Below are 13,978 nucleotides of genomic sequence, written 5' to 3'. Positions count from 1 at the left end.
CTTTTTAATTTTTTTTTTTGAGATGGAGTCTCGCTCTGTAGCCCAGGCTGGAGTGCAGTGGCATGATCTTGGCTCACTGCAAGCTCCACCTCCCAGGTTCACGCCATTCTCCTGCCTCAGCCTCCCAAGTAGCTGGGACTACAGGCGCCCACCACCACGCCTGGCTAATTTTTTGTATTTTTAGTAGAGACGGGGTTTCACCATGTTAGCCAGGGTGGTCTTGATCTCCTGACCTCGTGATCCGCCCACCTCAGCCTCCCAAAGTGCTCAGATTACAGGCGTGAGCCACCGCGCCTGGCTGTGGGAGGCATTTTTAAATGCCTCCACTGGCCCCTCCCAGGCCCCACCCAGGGTTGCTCACCCCAACACTCCCTCCTAGAGACACCCAGGCATTCGACTGGGACTCTGGTCACTTCCATGCTTTTTTTTGGCCAGGAGCTGCCTGACTCCTCCTGGGCCCAGGCCCGGCTCTGTGGCTCAGAGCAGGCATCAGGTCTGCCCCTGTGGCTGCTCCAGGCTCCAGAGAGGTGAGCTCACAGCAGATCTTGGCTTAGGCCAGGCCAGGACCAATGGCAAATGTTCAGCCAAACTGTCGCAACCTGATTTCAAGTTCCTAAAACCTGGTCACCTGAAGTCCACTGCCCTGCCCTCAGGGAATGTACCATCAAGTCGGGGAAGCTAAAATGCCCCCATCAGGGATCCCGTAGGAGCAGGGCAGGAGGCCAAGAGATGTCTGACAGAACAGAGAAACAGGTGGGCCATCTAAGAGGGGGCTGGGGAGGGAAAGTAACAAGTGCAGAGAGCGCAAAAGGCAAGGGTTTGCCTTCCTCCGGCCCCTTTAATCCTCCACGACCCTGGGCACTGGAAAGGTCAATTTACACTGAGGACGAAAACAGCTAGCAGGAGACCCGGCCAGAATCAAATCCAGGTCAGGCTGGCTTCGAATCCTGTGAGGGGTAAGGGTGGCTTGCTGTGGGGGCGTGTGTGTTGGGGGCGTGTGTGTCGAGGATGTGATGCTCAGTGTGTCTGAGGCTCAGAATCCCCAAGTGTGAGGTGGGGAGGGCAGGGGTGCAGCTCAGGCTCGGCAGCCCCCCCACTGCCCTTCCATGGAGAAAACAAGGAGGCCCTGCAGGGCAACAGGCCCAGAAAGTGAGGGGTGACAACAAACAGAGCCCAGTCAACAGGGACGAGGGACGGAAGGCGCAGTAATGAGCTCCGCAGGGCCCCGAGCCTCCTTCCGGGACCCATAGCACCACAGCAGCACAGGAGGCAAAGTGCAATTAGCCAGGAGCGCCCAGACCCGCCCTGGCCTCCCTGGGACCCAAGCTGCTGTAGGAGATCAGCCTCCTGGCCCTGGCAGCCTCCCAGACCAGCCAGGCCAGGTGCCCCAACTCCCTGCAATAGGAACCTTTGGCCCACAGATAAACACAGGCCTCAATGACAGGCCTCCTGCCTGCAGTCCTGGGCCTGTTCTTCACTGTTGAGAGGTGGAGCTGCACCAGGAACCACTTGGGCCCAAGCCCAGGGCAGGACACATAGGCTCCCACCTACAAACGGCCAGACAGATGGCCTCTCCTGGGGAGACTGGAGTCAGGCCCAGCACCACAAGGCCCTGGGAGGTCTGGGGGAGCAAGGCCGACCGTGGGGCTGCTGGGTGGTAGCTGAGTCCAACAATTTGGAAAGGAGCTCTGTTCCCAAAACTCTCCTGAGCCTTCTCTACTCCAGGTCCCTAGTGGGCTCAGCAGGGACATATACGTTGGGCCAGTTCTGCCTGTGGGGAGCTCACCTCACGGGGGAGGTGAAAGATAAACAGGCAATTGCAGGGCAAAGTGGGAGGTGGGGGGCAGCCCTACAGAATGCCCATGTGCCCCTTCAGCCCCTGACTGAGCCCTCATCTAGTGGGGGGGTGGGCTCTAAGGCAGGGGGACCTTGTTCTGAGCTCAGAGAAGGGGGTGGGAGCCTGGAAGCTGGAGAGTGAGGACTGGCCCTACACCCAGAGCACAGAACCAGGCCCCAGCCCTCTCTGGGCCTTGAGGCGTAGAATTGAAATGAGCCAACGGGTGGCTCTCGAAAGCCCTCCTGGCTCAGGTGCCCCTCGAATACCCACATCCACACGCCGCAACCATGGCCTCTGCCAAGGCCCCAGGGGCCCTACAGCAGGCAGCTGCTCCTACCCTGCAGGACTACTGGGGCTAGGCCCCAGGGATGCCCACCCTGGAGTGGCTTTGAGAGGTCACATCCCCGTTCTGCAGACTCAAGAGCAAGACACCTACCAGAGTCTCAGCCTTGCCCAAGGGCACTGCTCCCTCTGATGGCCAAGGGATACCTCAGAGGATGAGGAAAAACTCTGTCTTGCACAGGAGTACCTGTATGTTCTATGATATTAATTATCATAATGCTGGTAGGCACAGCCACCTTTGGCCAAGCACGATGCCGCACAAGGCATGTTGAGTGCAGCATCTGGTCCTATCCTCACCACTCCCCGAGAGACAGCTACTCCGATTGTCCTTATTTTGCTGATGAGTAACCTGAGGCCAGCTCCAAAGCTACCAAGTGCTGAGGCTCACTGCCAAGCCTGGGAGATGCAGATGTCCAGTGCTCCTCAGCCCCACTGCCAGCCCCTCCCAAGGGATGGCAGAAGGGCAGGGATGAGCAAGGGGCAATGACCAGAGTCCCCCTGCAGTCCCTGCCAATAATTCTTCAGGGAGCCAGGGTCTGCCTCCACTCCAGCCTCCCTGCCTCCTGTGCACGGAATCTAAGGCCCTGCTGCCAAGTGCTGGGATAGGAGGTTGGGTTGCAGGACCAGAGCCTATTCTTTCCAACCCAAACCCTTTGGCCCTGGTCCAGAACACCAGCAGCTTGGAACTGTGCTGGGATAGGAGGTTGGGTTGCAGGACCAGAGCCCATTCTTTCCCACCCAAACCCTTTGGCCCTGGTCCAGAACACCAGCAGCTTGGAACTGGGAGTCATGAAGCTGGGGATCACCAAACCACCCTTGCTGAACAACTGGGAAAAGTCAGGCCCAGAGGAGGACAGCAACCAGCTGAGTCACACAGCAGGTCTGTGTCTGTCAGGGGTCTCCTGAGCCCCATCAGTGGTGTCTGCACACTAAATGTGATGCACACAGCTTCCACATTTCACAGGTGTGTATTAATCTGCCAAGTGTCCCCAACAGTGTTGGGGGGGACACATCAGAATGACCTTGGGAGCCTGACGGATTCCCAGCACCTGCCCCTGGGGGTGCCCAGCTGAAGGGTGAGGGATGGCAATTCCGACGCTCGGCCAGTACTGGGGGCCCCCACCCCATCCCTGGCACAGGCTTTTGAAAGTCTCATCTGCCACAATCAGGTTCCGCCTGTCTGGCAGTGAGGGCCACAGGCTGCGTTCACACTCCCCAGCACCCTGCCCACTCTGCCCGAGGCCTCACCTTTTGCCACAGCGACTCCCGGGAGGCAAGTGACGAGCAGGCTGCCACAAACCAGCAGTTGCCCACCTGGCCCTGGTGCAGGTCGTGGGAGCTGATGCCATCCACAAAGAGGCGGGGGTCCTCGCAGATGCCCTGCGGAGAAGGCGAGGAGAGAGCGTGAGGGGCGGAGGAGCATGCGGATGCCCCCCATGGCAGGAGACATGACAGACACAGACGTGACAGACACAGACTTGCTGTGTGATCATCAGCATGGTGATTCACCTGCCTCCCACCACAGACTTGGGGCCCCATAGGGCCCATCTGCTCCCCGCTTGCCCCCCACCCCGCGGTCCTGCCTGGGATGCCCTCTCCCCTTCCTGGCCAGAGAGTGCTCTTCCGCTAAAGGTTTGCTGATGAAGAACCTGTGGGAAGACGTCAGAGCGCTGGACCCGGGGCACTGCCTTCCTCCTACCCGCTGCGCCCCTCCCTAACCAGCAAGAGCTCCATTCCCTTCCTTCTCTAGCACCAGCAGCCTGAGTGCCCACCCCCGCCAGCCCACAGGGGTACAGCAGGTTCAAGTGGGGTGGGGGTGCGGGCATGGGACAAACACCCATATCCCAGCTGGGGAGCACAAAGCGAGGGGCCAGTGGGGAGCGGTGGGCCAGGCCCCGCATGGCACTTGCCTCGCATAATCTCATCAGGTCTTCACGCCACCCAAGGAGCGAGGAGTTGTCATTCCATTGTATGGGCGAGGAATGGAGGTTCAGAGATGGACTGTGACTTGTCAAAGGCACACAGCAAGCAAATGCTCAAGTGGAGCAAAAACTCCTTTTTTTCCTTTTTTCTTTCTTTTTTTCTTTAGAGACAGTCTCGCTCTTTTGCCCAGGCTGGAGTGCATGGAATGCAGTAGTGCAACCTCAGCTCACTGCAACCTCCAGCTCCTGGGTTCAAGCAATTCTCCTGCCTCACCTTCCTGAGTAGCTGGGATTACAGGCACCCACCACCACGCCCAGCTAATTTTTATATTTTTAGTAGAGACAGGGTTTCTCCATGTTGGCCAGGCTGGTCTCAAACTCCTGATCTGCTGGCCTCGGCCTCCCAAAGTGCTGGAATTACAGGCATAAGCCACTGCGCCCAGCCTCCATTTTTATTTTCTACAGAGACTGGTGGGCACGGCCCAAGAGGCTGCTCCATGAGACGCAGCCAGGGAATCCGGCCAGGGCAGCCGCTGACCCGGGAATGATCCATGAGCAACTGGCTGCTCTCAGGCTCAGCCCTTCCTAATTTCTGGAAGCCCCTTGCTCTGCCTGCCAAGAGAGAGGCAGCCCAGGGGGGCTCCAGTACCAGGTGCCCTCTGCACCTGACCCTGCCCAAGGAGCTCTGGCCTGGGCTTTCCACCTCTTCTTGCTGTGGGGGTATTTTCCTTAAAAGCCCCCTGAGGCAGTGCTGTGAAAGGGAAAAGCATGGGCTTTGGCTTCAGACTGGAGACTGAATTCCAGCTCCTCAATCGGCAATCTGGCGAGCTCTCTGAGCCTCGGCTTTCTGATTTATATAATAGAAACAACAATTTCTTTATGTTGTTGGATTTTGGGGTTTTTTGTTTTTGTTTTTGTCTTTTTGAGGCATGGTCTCGTCTGTCACCCAAACTGGAGTGCAGTCACAATCACAGCTCACTGCAGCCTCAACCTCCTAGGCTCAAGCGATCCTCTGGCCTAAGCCTCACGAATAGCTGGGACCGTAGGCCCACACACCACACTCAGCTAACTCTTAAATTTTTTGTAGAGATGAGGTCTCACTATGTTGCCCAGGCTGGTCTCAAACTCCTGAGCTCAAGCAATCTTCCCGCCTCAGCCTCCCAAAGTGCTGGGATGACAGGCTTGAGCCAATGTGCATGGCCAATAATTTCTACTTTGCGAGGAGGAATCAGTGTATGTAAAGTATCAAGCCCAGGGCCTGACCCAAAGCGAATGAAAGTCTCCTTCAATTTTCAGGTGCTAGGAAGCTATGCCCAGACCTCTATGGGTGGCTCCAGCACCAAGAGATGCAACCAGGAAGGGTCAGCTCACCCTGTGTTCCCTCAGCTGTAATCATCCCTCCCCAAGGCCTGAGCTGGGGGTGGGGCCTGGCCTGATCCCTAGCCCTGGCCCAGGGAACAGAGCAGGCCCCTCTTCCTCTCCCATCGCCTCACTGAGCTGAGGAAGCCACTGCTCCCCAGTGGCTGTGGGTATGGTGGAGGGTGGGGACAGGCAAACACTGAGACATGCCTTTCATGTACCAGGCATCCTGCTGACACCACAATCCATCCTCACCAAGGCACTGAGAAGTGGGCAATATCCCCTTTTACAGATAAGGAAACTGAGGCCCAGGGAGGTGTAATACCATGTCCCCGCCACACAGCATGGGCAGATGGCAGCAGCCCTCTGCCTGCCTCCACTCCAGCAGGCGCTCCTGAGCTAGTTCCATCCCAAGAGCTTCTGCGGTCCTACCACAGGCGGCCAGCAGAGGGTGGCAGAGGCAGGAAGACCGAATTTGAATGTCTGCTCCCTGCTGTGCAACTTTGGGCCTCACCTGTGCAGAGGAGATAAATGGTCATCCCAGCAGGGCTGTGTAGGGACTCTACAGATCGTGGAGCAGAGCAGTTGCAAGGGAGAATGGGGAAGAGGGCTCCTAGTTCCCACCAAGATGGGGACCCTGCTGTCCCCTCTGCCCGGAAGAACCAGAGTTTTAGAGGGTCAGAGAAAGGGCTAGAATTCCCCCAAGGGCATGAGCAGCTCCTGAGACCTGGCCCCTCCTTCCAGTTGGCACTACAGGGTGCACCACGGCCAACCTGCACGGCGGCTTCTGCAGAGCACAGGTCTAGGAAACCCAGTGAGGCCGCCTGGTCTCATCCATCCCCAACGGCACCCCGTCAGGAAGCACAGGCAGGAAGAAGGGACTTTCCCTCTCCTCCCCGCTGCCCTCCTGTCTTCCCTCCCAGCCCTGGACCACACCCCACATCCAGCCCATCCTCTGACCCAGAGGGAGCTATGACTTAGCATCTGTTCCCTGAGGCCAGGAGGGCAGGCAAGACCGGGAAGGGAGAGGGGCTTCCATATACGGAGGACCCCAGCCACATCATGCCATGGAAAGAGAAACAGCTACCACCTGGCATCACCAGGGTTTACAGCAGGAAGTGACTCAGGTGTCCCTCCACTTCAGATCCTCCCAGCCAGTGTCCTAAGACAGACACACAACTGCCCCATCCCAGAGAGGAGGAGGCTGAGCCCAGGACAGCGCAGTGATGTCCAAGGTGACAAGGCAAGTAAGTGGACGGATCCGATGGGATGCCCTAGGTCTGCTGGGCTCCCAACCAGGGTCTCCCAACACTAAGCACCACAGCTGGGGCAGACCCGAGGTGCAGATCCAACCAGATCTGGGCCCCAGATCAGGGCTCTGGCCCCAGACACTTCTCCAGTCCTTGAGAGACAGACCGAGCTTGGGAGTCACGATTCCCAGATTCCATCACCCTGACTTGCTGTGGCAGAGCAGGAACCTGGGGGCAATCGTGCAGCCTGGGAAGGAGCAGACAGAGCGGAAGGCAGCCAGGCATGTTCCCACTGCCAGGAGAGGCTCAGGGTCACCAGCTCTAACCAACAGAAACCACCTGAGGTTGGTGGCACCTGGAGTCTGCTCTGGAATCCAGGGGCCACCTTGGGGCACCTGTAAAGGAACAATAATAGAAATATCTCACAATGACTGGGCACCTGCTATGTGGCAGGCACTGTGCAAAACAACCCTGTGAGATGGGCACTGTTGGCATCCCCTTTTTACGGATGAGGAAACCAAGGCACAGAAAGGTTAAGTCACTTGCCCAGGGCCACACAAGAAGAGGTGAAATGAGATTCAAATTCAGGCAGTCTGGCTGCAGTCTCCAGGTAGACTAGGTTTTTTGTTTGTTTGTTTGTTTTTGTTTGTTTTTTTTAGATGGGAGTCTTGCCCTGTCGCCCAGGCTGGAATGCAATGGTGCGATCTTGGCTCACTGCAACCTTCGCCTCCTGGGTTCAAACGATTCTCCTGCCTTAGCCTCTAGAGTAGCTGGGACTACAGGCACCTGCCACCAACACCCAGCTAATTTTTCTATTTTTAGTAGAGACAGGGTTTCACTATGTTGGCCAGGCTGGTCTCAGGTGGGCTAGGTTTTATGGGTGACAAAGCCATCCTTCCTTCACCTGTCTCCCTGCACCTGTCCTAACCCAGCTTAGGGGGTGTCTCACTAGATAGCAATGAGACCAAGGGTTTGGGGAAGCCCAGGCCCTCACCTCTGCCACCATGGGGCCAGGCTTCTCAAGCCTAGTGTTTGTCCTTCCACTTTTCCTGGGCCACTGGCTGGACATAGGTCATAGAGTGAGTCAGGGAAGGTCTCTGCCCACAGGCAGGGATCTTGAGAAGGAGCCAGGCCCTGACCCCCCATGTGAGCAGAGCTGTGACAGCAGGAGCCAGAGAGAAAACAGAGGAGGCTGCCTGGAGGCAGTGATGCTGGCAGAGCAGGCATGGAGAGTGCTGGTAAGCAGGGAGGTTCAGGAGGGAAATGGGGACCCGAAGTGTCCTGAGGCAGACACTGCCTCCGAAATGGTCCTCGGGTGCCAGGGGCCCTTTATCTGGTGCCAGCCACCTGTGCTCCCTTCCATCCCTGTCCACACTCTCTAGGTTTCCTTAGGGTCCCCACCACCAGCCTGTGAGCTCCTAAGCAGGGCCCAGGCCTGACTTTGCCCACTTCTAGGCTTAGCAAAGCTTGGCAGGTTCCACTGGGGCTACAGACAGGTCCCTGGGAGGGAGGGGGGACAAAGTGGTGCACAGGATTGGGCTGTACAGGGGCTACCCCTGAGGGCTGGGGGTTGACCATTTCTCCAGGCAACACAGCTCTAGGACAGCATTCTGCACCTGCAGTCACCGCTCCCCTGCTCAGCCCATCCCAGCCTGTTAGACCAACTCTACCTGACAGGCCACAGCCCAGCCCACCTCCCTTCTCCCTTCGTGGCACAACAAGAAATTCAGGTTTCTATTCCTGGTGTACAAGGCAAGGCAAGGCAGCAGACTGGATCCATGGCACCTGGGCTATATCTGCAGAGGCTCCCTCCACATCCGTCCTCCTCCCCCACTCTTTGTCCATCCAGCTTCACCCTAGTCACCACCCTCCTGGAATCTAGGATCACAGAATGAATGAACTAGACAGTGGGAAACAGGTCTGGGAAGGACACGGGACTTCCATCTGGGACTGGAAAGGGAGTTGTAGCCTACAGCCCATCCCCTCTGCAGAAGACTTGCCCTCCCCCAGCCCTACCTCCTTCTCCTCCATGGCAGTCCGCACCCTTCAAGGCCTCTGAAAGCTCTCCCTGACCCCACTGAACCCCATCTCTGAGCACATGCCCAGAAGGGGGTCATTCCTGGGCAGTTCGGCTGGGTGTGCCCCCGCTGCCAGGCCTTGCTGCAAACTGACTGTTCTGTGGCACGAAAAGGCCTTATGTTCAGGGAGCCGAGGAGTAGGGCCATCTCCAGGAAATGGCTTGATGGGCAAGAGTCCCCGGGACTGGGCTGAGGCTGGGGCCCCCGAGACTGCACTAGGGGAATTCTGCAGGTTCCAAAACCAGTGTCTGTTCATTAGTCCCCCTCCCCCACCCCACCTTGTCCCCTGTGCATTCCACCAAAGGACCTCCAGGCTCATACCCAGATGTGGGAGAGACAGCATGCTGGATGAGGGGATGTTGCCCCCACAGGGTGACAGGAGGCCGCCTACCAGGTCCCGGGCCCTGAGCGAGGAGGACGGACACCCTGAGCTCCCAGGCCTGGGGACATTCTCCATTCTCCGTGCATCTCCCCAGCCAGGCCTGTGAGGGGCCAGCGAATGGCCACTGTACTGGAAAGAACAAAAACATAGCGAGCCTGTGGGTGAAGGGTGTGGGCTGAAGGCAGGTGCCCAGGTCGGCACCCAAGAGGACAAGGCCTGGTCCCACCTGCAGAGTCAATAGGAGATGGGATGTCCCAACCAAGGTGGCTCTAGGTCCCCAACAAAAAGTTGCCAAGGAGAAGACGAGCAAGAGAGGGGAACCAGTTTGTCACCTGCCTCCCATGTGTATGACACCACAGATACCTCAAGTCATTTCGGTTTCCAGAAACTGTGACCAGCAAGAATTATCCTTCCCCAATTACAGATGAGGAAACTGAGGCCCAAGCAGGAGTGACTTGTTCAAGGTCACACTTCTAGTAAGGTAGGGCCAAGGCTGCAGCCAAGTTCACTGTGGCTCAAAAACTAGCCTCTGCATTCCATTTGAGAGGCAGCGAGGCTGGGAGGCTGGCTGAGGAGACCCTCTAAGAACAGAGCAGCCACTATAAGGACCAACTCAGAGAAGGAGCTGGAGGGGATGGACGGGCATGCAGCACGACTTCTCATTTGTAAACAGGCGGTCACAGGTAAGACTCCATCGAAACAAGGCTGCCTGAGGCCAAAGTTCCCTCTCACTGGCAAGCAGCTGGGCGTTAATGATAACCCACTGGGCTGGGCCCGCCAAGCAAGCTGAGCCAAGCCTGCTTGACTTCCTGCTCCACAAACCTCCCATCCCGTTAGTGGGGCAGGGGCTGCCTGTCCTGCAGGCTTGTGGCTAGCCAGTAGGCAGTGCCTACACACATGGTTTAGGAAATCCAGGCAGTGCCGTGGACCATCCACCCCAGCCTGGTCTGAGTCCCCATCACTGCTGCCCCTTGGGCCCCACTCACACAGCTCTCTGAACACCAGCCACCATACGCTCTCTGTCACCTGCCCCCACATCCAGGGCAGGGCAGCTCTGCGTGTCTAGAAAGGGCAGGGCACCAAGTGAGCCAGCGAGGAAGGCAACGAGAGGAGGAGGTGTGGCATGGCTCCTGAACCCACAAGGAAAGGGGCTCAGAAAGGGCAGCTGACTCCCCTGGGTCACGCAGCAGGAGAGTACCAAGCGGGCCAACCTGGCGTCTCCTCCTCTCACCGCAGCAAGCCCAGCCTGCTCCCGCCAGGCCTCACCAGCCTCTTTTCGGAGCCACGGACCTAAAATGTCTGGGCAATGGCCAGAGGGCAGGAGGGAGTCAGGACGGGGGTAGCCAGGGGATGGAGTGGGAGGAGGGCGAAGAGCTCGAGTGCCCAGCCCTCCTCCCCACAGCCAAGGCCTCACAAAGGCCCTTTGAGGCCAAGGCCTCCCTCCCCACCTACTTGACAAAGGAAGAGAGGAAGGCGTGGGAGAGGGGGCCCAAGAGGCAGAACTCTTGTGGCCAGGCCAGGAGGCTCCTGGGCCTTCCAGAGAGTCAGTACAGGGCCAGAGATTCTGTTACAGCTCTTGGGACTGAGGTCAAGGGCACCAGGGGCCCTTTATCTGGTGCCAGGAAGGTGGGGTGCAGGGAGGCAGGACTCTTCAACTACCCCTGCTAGCAGCTCATGGGTGATCTAGGACACGCACCTTCCTCTCTTGGCCTCAGTTTCTCTGCCACTCAAGAGTCCCAGTCCAAGGACATCTACGGGGTATTTTCAGTCAGAAGGGACTCGAGATCATAGCCTGGGAGGGAAACTAGAAAACTACATTTCATTTTCCCAAAAAGCCCAGGGGATCAGGAGGAACTTTGGAAAATGCAAATCTGACCCTGTTACAGGCTGCTGAAAGCCTTTGCCTTCGCGGGACCTCACTACTCACAGAGCAAGGTCGAGCATCTTGGCCCCAGATCTGCCACCCCAGGCATGGCTCTCCACAGGCCCACATGAGCCTGAGGGGCTCCCACCTGTGAGTTTCTATTCCCTCTGCCTTTTCCCACCTGGCCCTTTGGGCAAAAACCTCATCACCCTTCACCTCCAAGACACCTCCTCTGATTACTGGGCTGCGGGAGTCACAGCCTCCTCCCAGCCTGGAGCATCCTTGAGACAGCAGCATGGTCTCCCGCATTGTGAGGGGACGACCCTCAGTGTCACTAGCACAGCCCTGGAGGCCAGGGAGAGTAACCTCCTGCAGCCTCCCCTCCACCCAGGCCACCAGGGACCCCATTCTGCAGGACCCACAGACAAGCAGCGAACCCCTCCCCAGCCCACCCTCACACCCAGGAATCGGGGTTCAAGGGGATGAAATCACACCAGGAGGCCAAACATTTCTGTGTAACACACTCTAGCCTCAGGGACCAAAAGGAGTGGTCGGAGAGACGCCACCTGTTCATCATTATCAGTATCCATGGTCCCGTACTGGCTGCCAGGCTGTGAGTGGAATTTTGCATGCATTACCTCTTTTAATTCTCACAACCACTCTATGAGGTAGGTACTACTATCTTTTTACAATTATTATTATTATTGATTAATCATCATAATAAATACTTTTCATTTCTACCACAAATGACTATTTCAAAATCATGATGATAACAATCAGGAAAGTAAATTCCTTACATTTGGATGTCAATCTACATTTTATCAAAAATGGTCATATCCACATCACCCCATTTTTATTCCAAAAATGACCCTCAGCGGGGCTGAGGTTACTGCCCCATTTTTCCTGTGAGGAAGTGGAGGCCCTGAGAGGGTGAAGGCCTGGCTGGGCCTCAACCAATCCAGTGGTGGCCACAGGATTACAGCCCATTCTCCAAGCTCCCCATCCGGATCAAATCCCACCGTTTCAGCACCCTCACTTTCTCAGCAGCCTGGGGCCAGGGATGCCTCCTCCCACCACCCCGATGTCCCTGCAGGCCCAGCCTTGTGGGTGGGCCTGGGCCCGCTCACCCAGCTCCAGCTGGGACCAGACACTGACCTTGGGTCGCTTCCACCTGACGGCGGGCCCCGGCGTGCCCTTATAGTAGAGTGAGTCGTCAGTGGCGGGGAAGAGGGGGTCCTCGAAGAGCACCTTCCTGCGCCGGCAGTCCCGCCTCAGGGCTGAGTAGTTCTGGTCCTCATAGGGCTTCACACACGAGAACATGGTGGCTGCTGCCCCAGGGAGGGGAGGGGGAACACCTGGACAGGAAGGCAAGAAGACGGTCACTCACAGAGTCCCTGGGTCCCTGATGTGCCCTGTGAAGCGGACATCATCAGCCCCATGGCACAGGCACGGAAGGCTCAGCGAGGCGTGGAGCCTACCCAAGGTCACACAGCTGGTATACAGCAGAGTGGGACAGACACCGACCGGCCTGACTCCATAGACTGGATTCTCTCGTTTCTGAAGCTCAGAGGCGATACCAGGCCCACAGGCCACACAGAGCTCAGGCCTGGCCCACACCGCACCTACCTCCCTGCCTTCCTTTGTTTGACCAGCCTTCCCTACACCTCCTCAGACGGAATCAGACCAGTGGCCAGCCCTGCCAGCTCCCTGGCTGGTGTGTCTCCCACAGGAAAGCAGCGTGTGCCTCTGGGTTTCCCTCCCCACCTCTAGAGAGTGGCACATTTCTGCCTGGTGTGGGAAAACCTTGCCCCAGGTACCCCTCTCAGCATCATTCATTCATTCTCTCCGGTCCTCCCCGCACCATGCTGCCTTCCTCACAGCATCTTGGGAATAGGCGTCTCTAATTCTGTAGAGAGCAGGCCCATGGCTCCTTAACCCTCCCTCCATTCCCCAGGGGCCCAGGTGGGCCCAGCCAAGCACCCTGAACTTTGCACCAATGTGCTGACCAAGTGCAAGGGACACAGACTGGACCAACATGGTCAGGGAAGGCCTCTGGGAGTGGAGGGCAGGGCAGGGCAAGGAACAGCGGCTGGCAGGGCCTGCATATCAGGTGCGCTGAGAGATGCTCGGACGGCCAAGCACCTGAGTGACCACCCCATTTATGATCCACGCCCCCATCCCTCAAACTCCATCTGGGCTGCGGTGCAGCTCCACAGTCCCCGATCTACTCTTCCTGGGGCCTGCCCAGGGTAACAGTGCAATCCTTTTGGGGTAAAGGCCACAATTTCCAGCCCAGCCCTGAGGGAAACCAAGGCAAGGCAGGCTGGCTGTGGGAGTGATATCTGAGATCAAGACTGGTGTGAGTGCCAGCCCCAGTGGTACCACCCTCCTGCTGGGTGACGTTGAACTGGTCATGTGAACTCTCTGAGCCCGTTTTCTCATCTCAGTGATGGGAATTACACAGTGCTGCTGCACCTCCTGGAAGGAGTCAACCCATTAACTGAAGGCTGAGGAGCCCGCCAAGCATGCCAGTGGGAAGAGGAGTGAGGGGGAAGGGGCCAAGACACCCAGTGGTCCCAAGAGACGCCCCATTTCCCTGGCCAGAGGTGCATGTGTACTGCCTGCCAACAGTGCCGGTGGGCACACGGCTGCCAGCTTTCACAAAATACAACTGCGGCTCAGTGAGGTGAGGTGACCTGCCCAAGCTCCCCTGGAAACCTGGTGTCCGGACGGGAACCCAGATCCTCTGACTTTAGTGCCACCGCCTTGGCTGTATGACCCTGCCGCTCTCACTTAGGGTCTCCCCACACACCGTGGCTGAGCTGGAGCCTCACTGGGGCCTCATGTGGAGGGAAAGAGGGAAGGGAGAGACAGGAAAGGAAAGAGGCGAGCGCGGGCAGTGAGCATGGGCACAGATGGACAGCAGGGAGGGCAAGGGGGCCAT

At 57.7% G+C, this 13,978-nt stretch overlaps 1 protein-coding gene across 7 annotated transcripts in view, besides 1 other annotated feature; it reads right to left on the bottom strand.

Moving 5' to 3' along the window:
• The window catches only part of CAPN5 (calpain 5), a 59,185-nt gene that overhangs the window by 28,915 nt on the left and 16,292 nt on the right, over positions 1 to 13,978 (bottom strand). For 5 of the 7 annotated variants that reach the window (NR_189161.1, NM_001425322.1, XM_011545225.1 and 2 more), the window contains 2 exons: positions 12,190 to 12,389; positions 3,428 to 3,559 (listed from right to left, as the gene is read on the bottom strand). Coding sequence is in view for 6 of the 7 variants with exons in the window: in XM_011545225.1 (XP_011543527.1) it covers positions 3,428 to 3,559; positions 12,190 to 12,389 (332 nt within the window). In the remaining variant the exon portion in view is untranslated. Of the gene's footprint in view, positions 1 to 3,427; positions 3,560 to 9,179; positions 9,300 to 12,189; positions 12,390 to 13,978 lie in introns of all 7 variants that reach the window. The other 2 variants (NM_001425321.1, NM_001425323.1) reach the window with 2 other exon arrangements.
• Positions 9,715 to 10,663: an enhancer, noted in NCBI's record as "H3K4me1 hESC enhancer chr11:76797624-76798572 (GRCh37/hg19 assembly coordinates)". NCBI's record gives its function as "activates a minimal SCP1, AML or CMV promoter by ChIP-STARR-seq in naive and primed H9 embryonic stem cells {active_cell/tissue: H9 hESC(naive and primed)}" and the evidence as "EXISTENCE:reporter gene assay evidence [ECO:0000049][PMID:30033119]".

The sequence above is a fragment of the Homo sapiens genome, chromosome 11 (assembly GCF_000001405.40).
Source record: "Homo sapiens chromosome 11, GRCh38.p14 Primary Assembly".
Lineage (NCBI taxonomy): Eukaryota > Metazoa > Chordata > Mammalia > Primates > Hominidae > Homo > Homo sapiens.
Note: the sequence above shows the minus strand (reverse complement) of the source record. Positions and strands in the feature narration are given on the sequence as shown.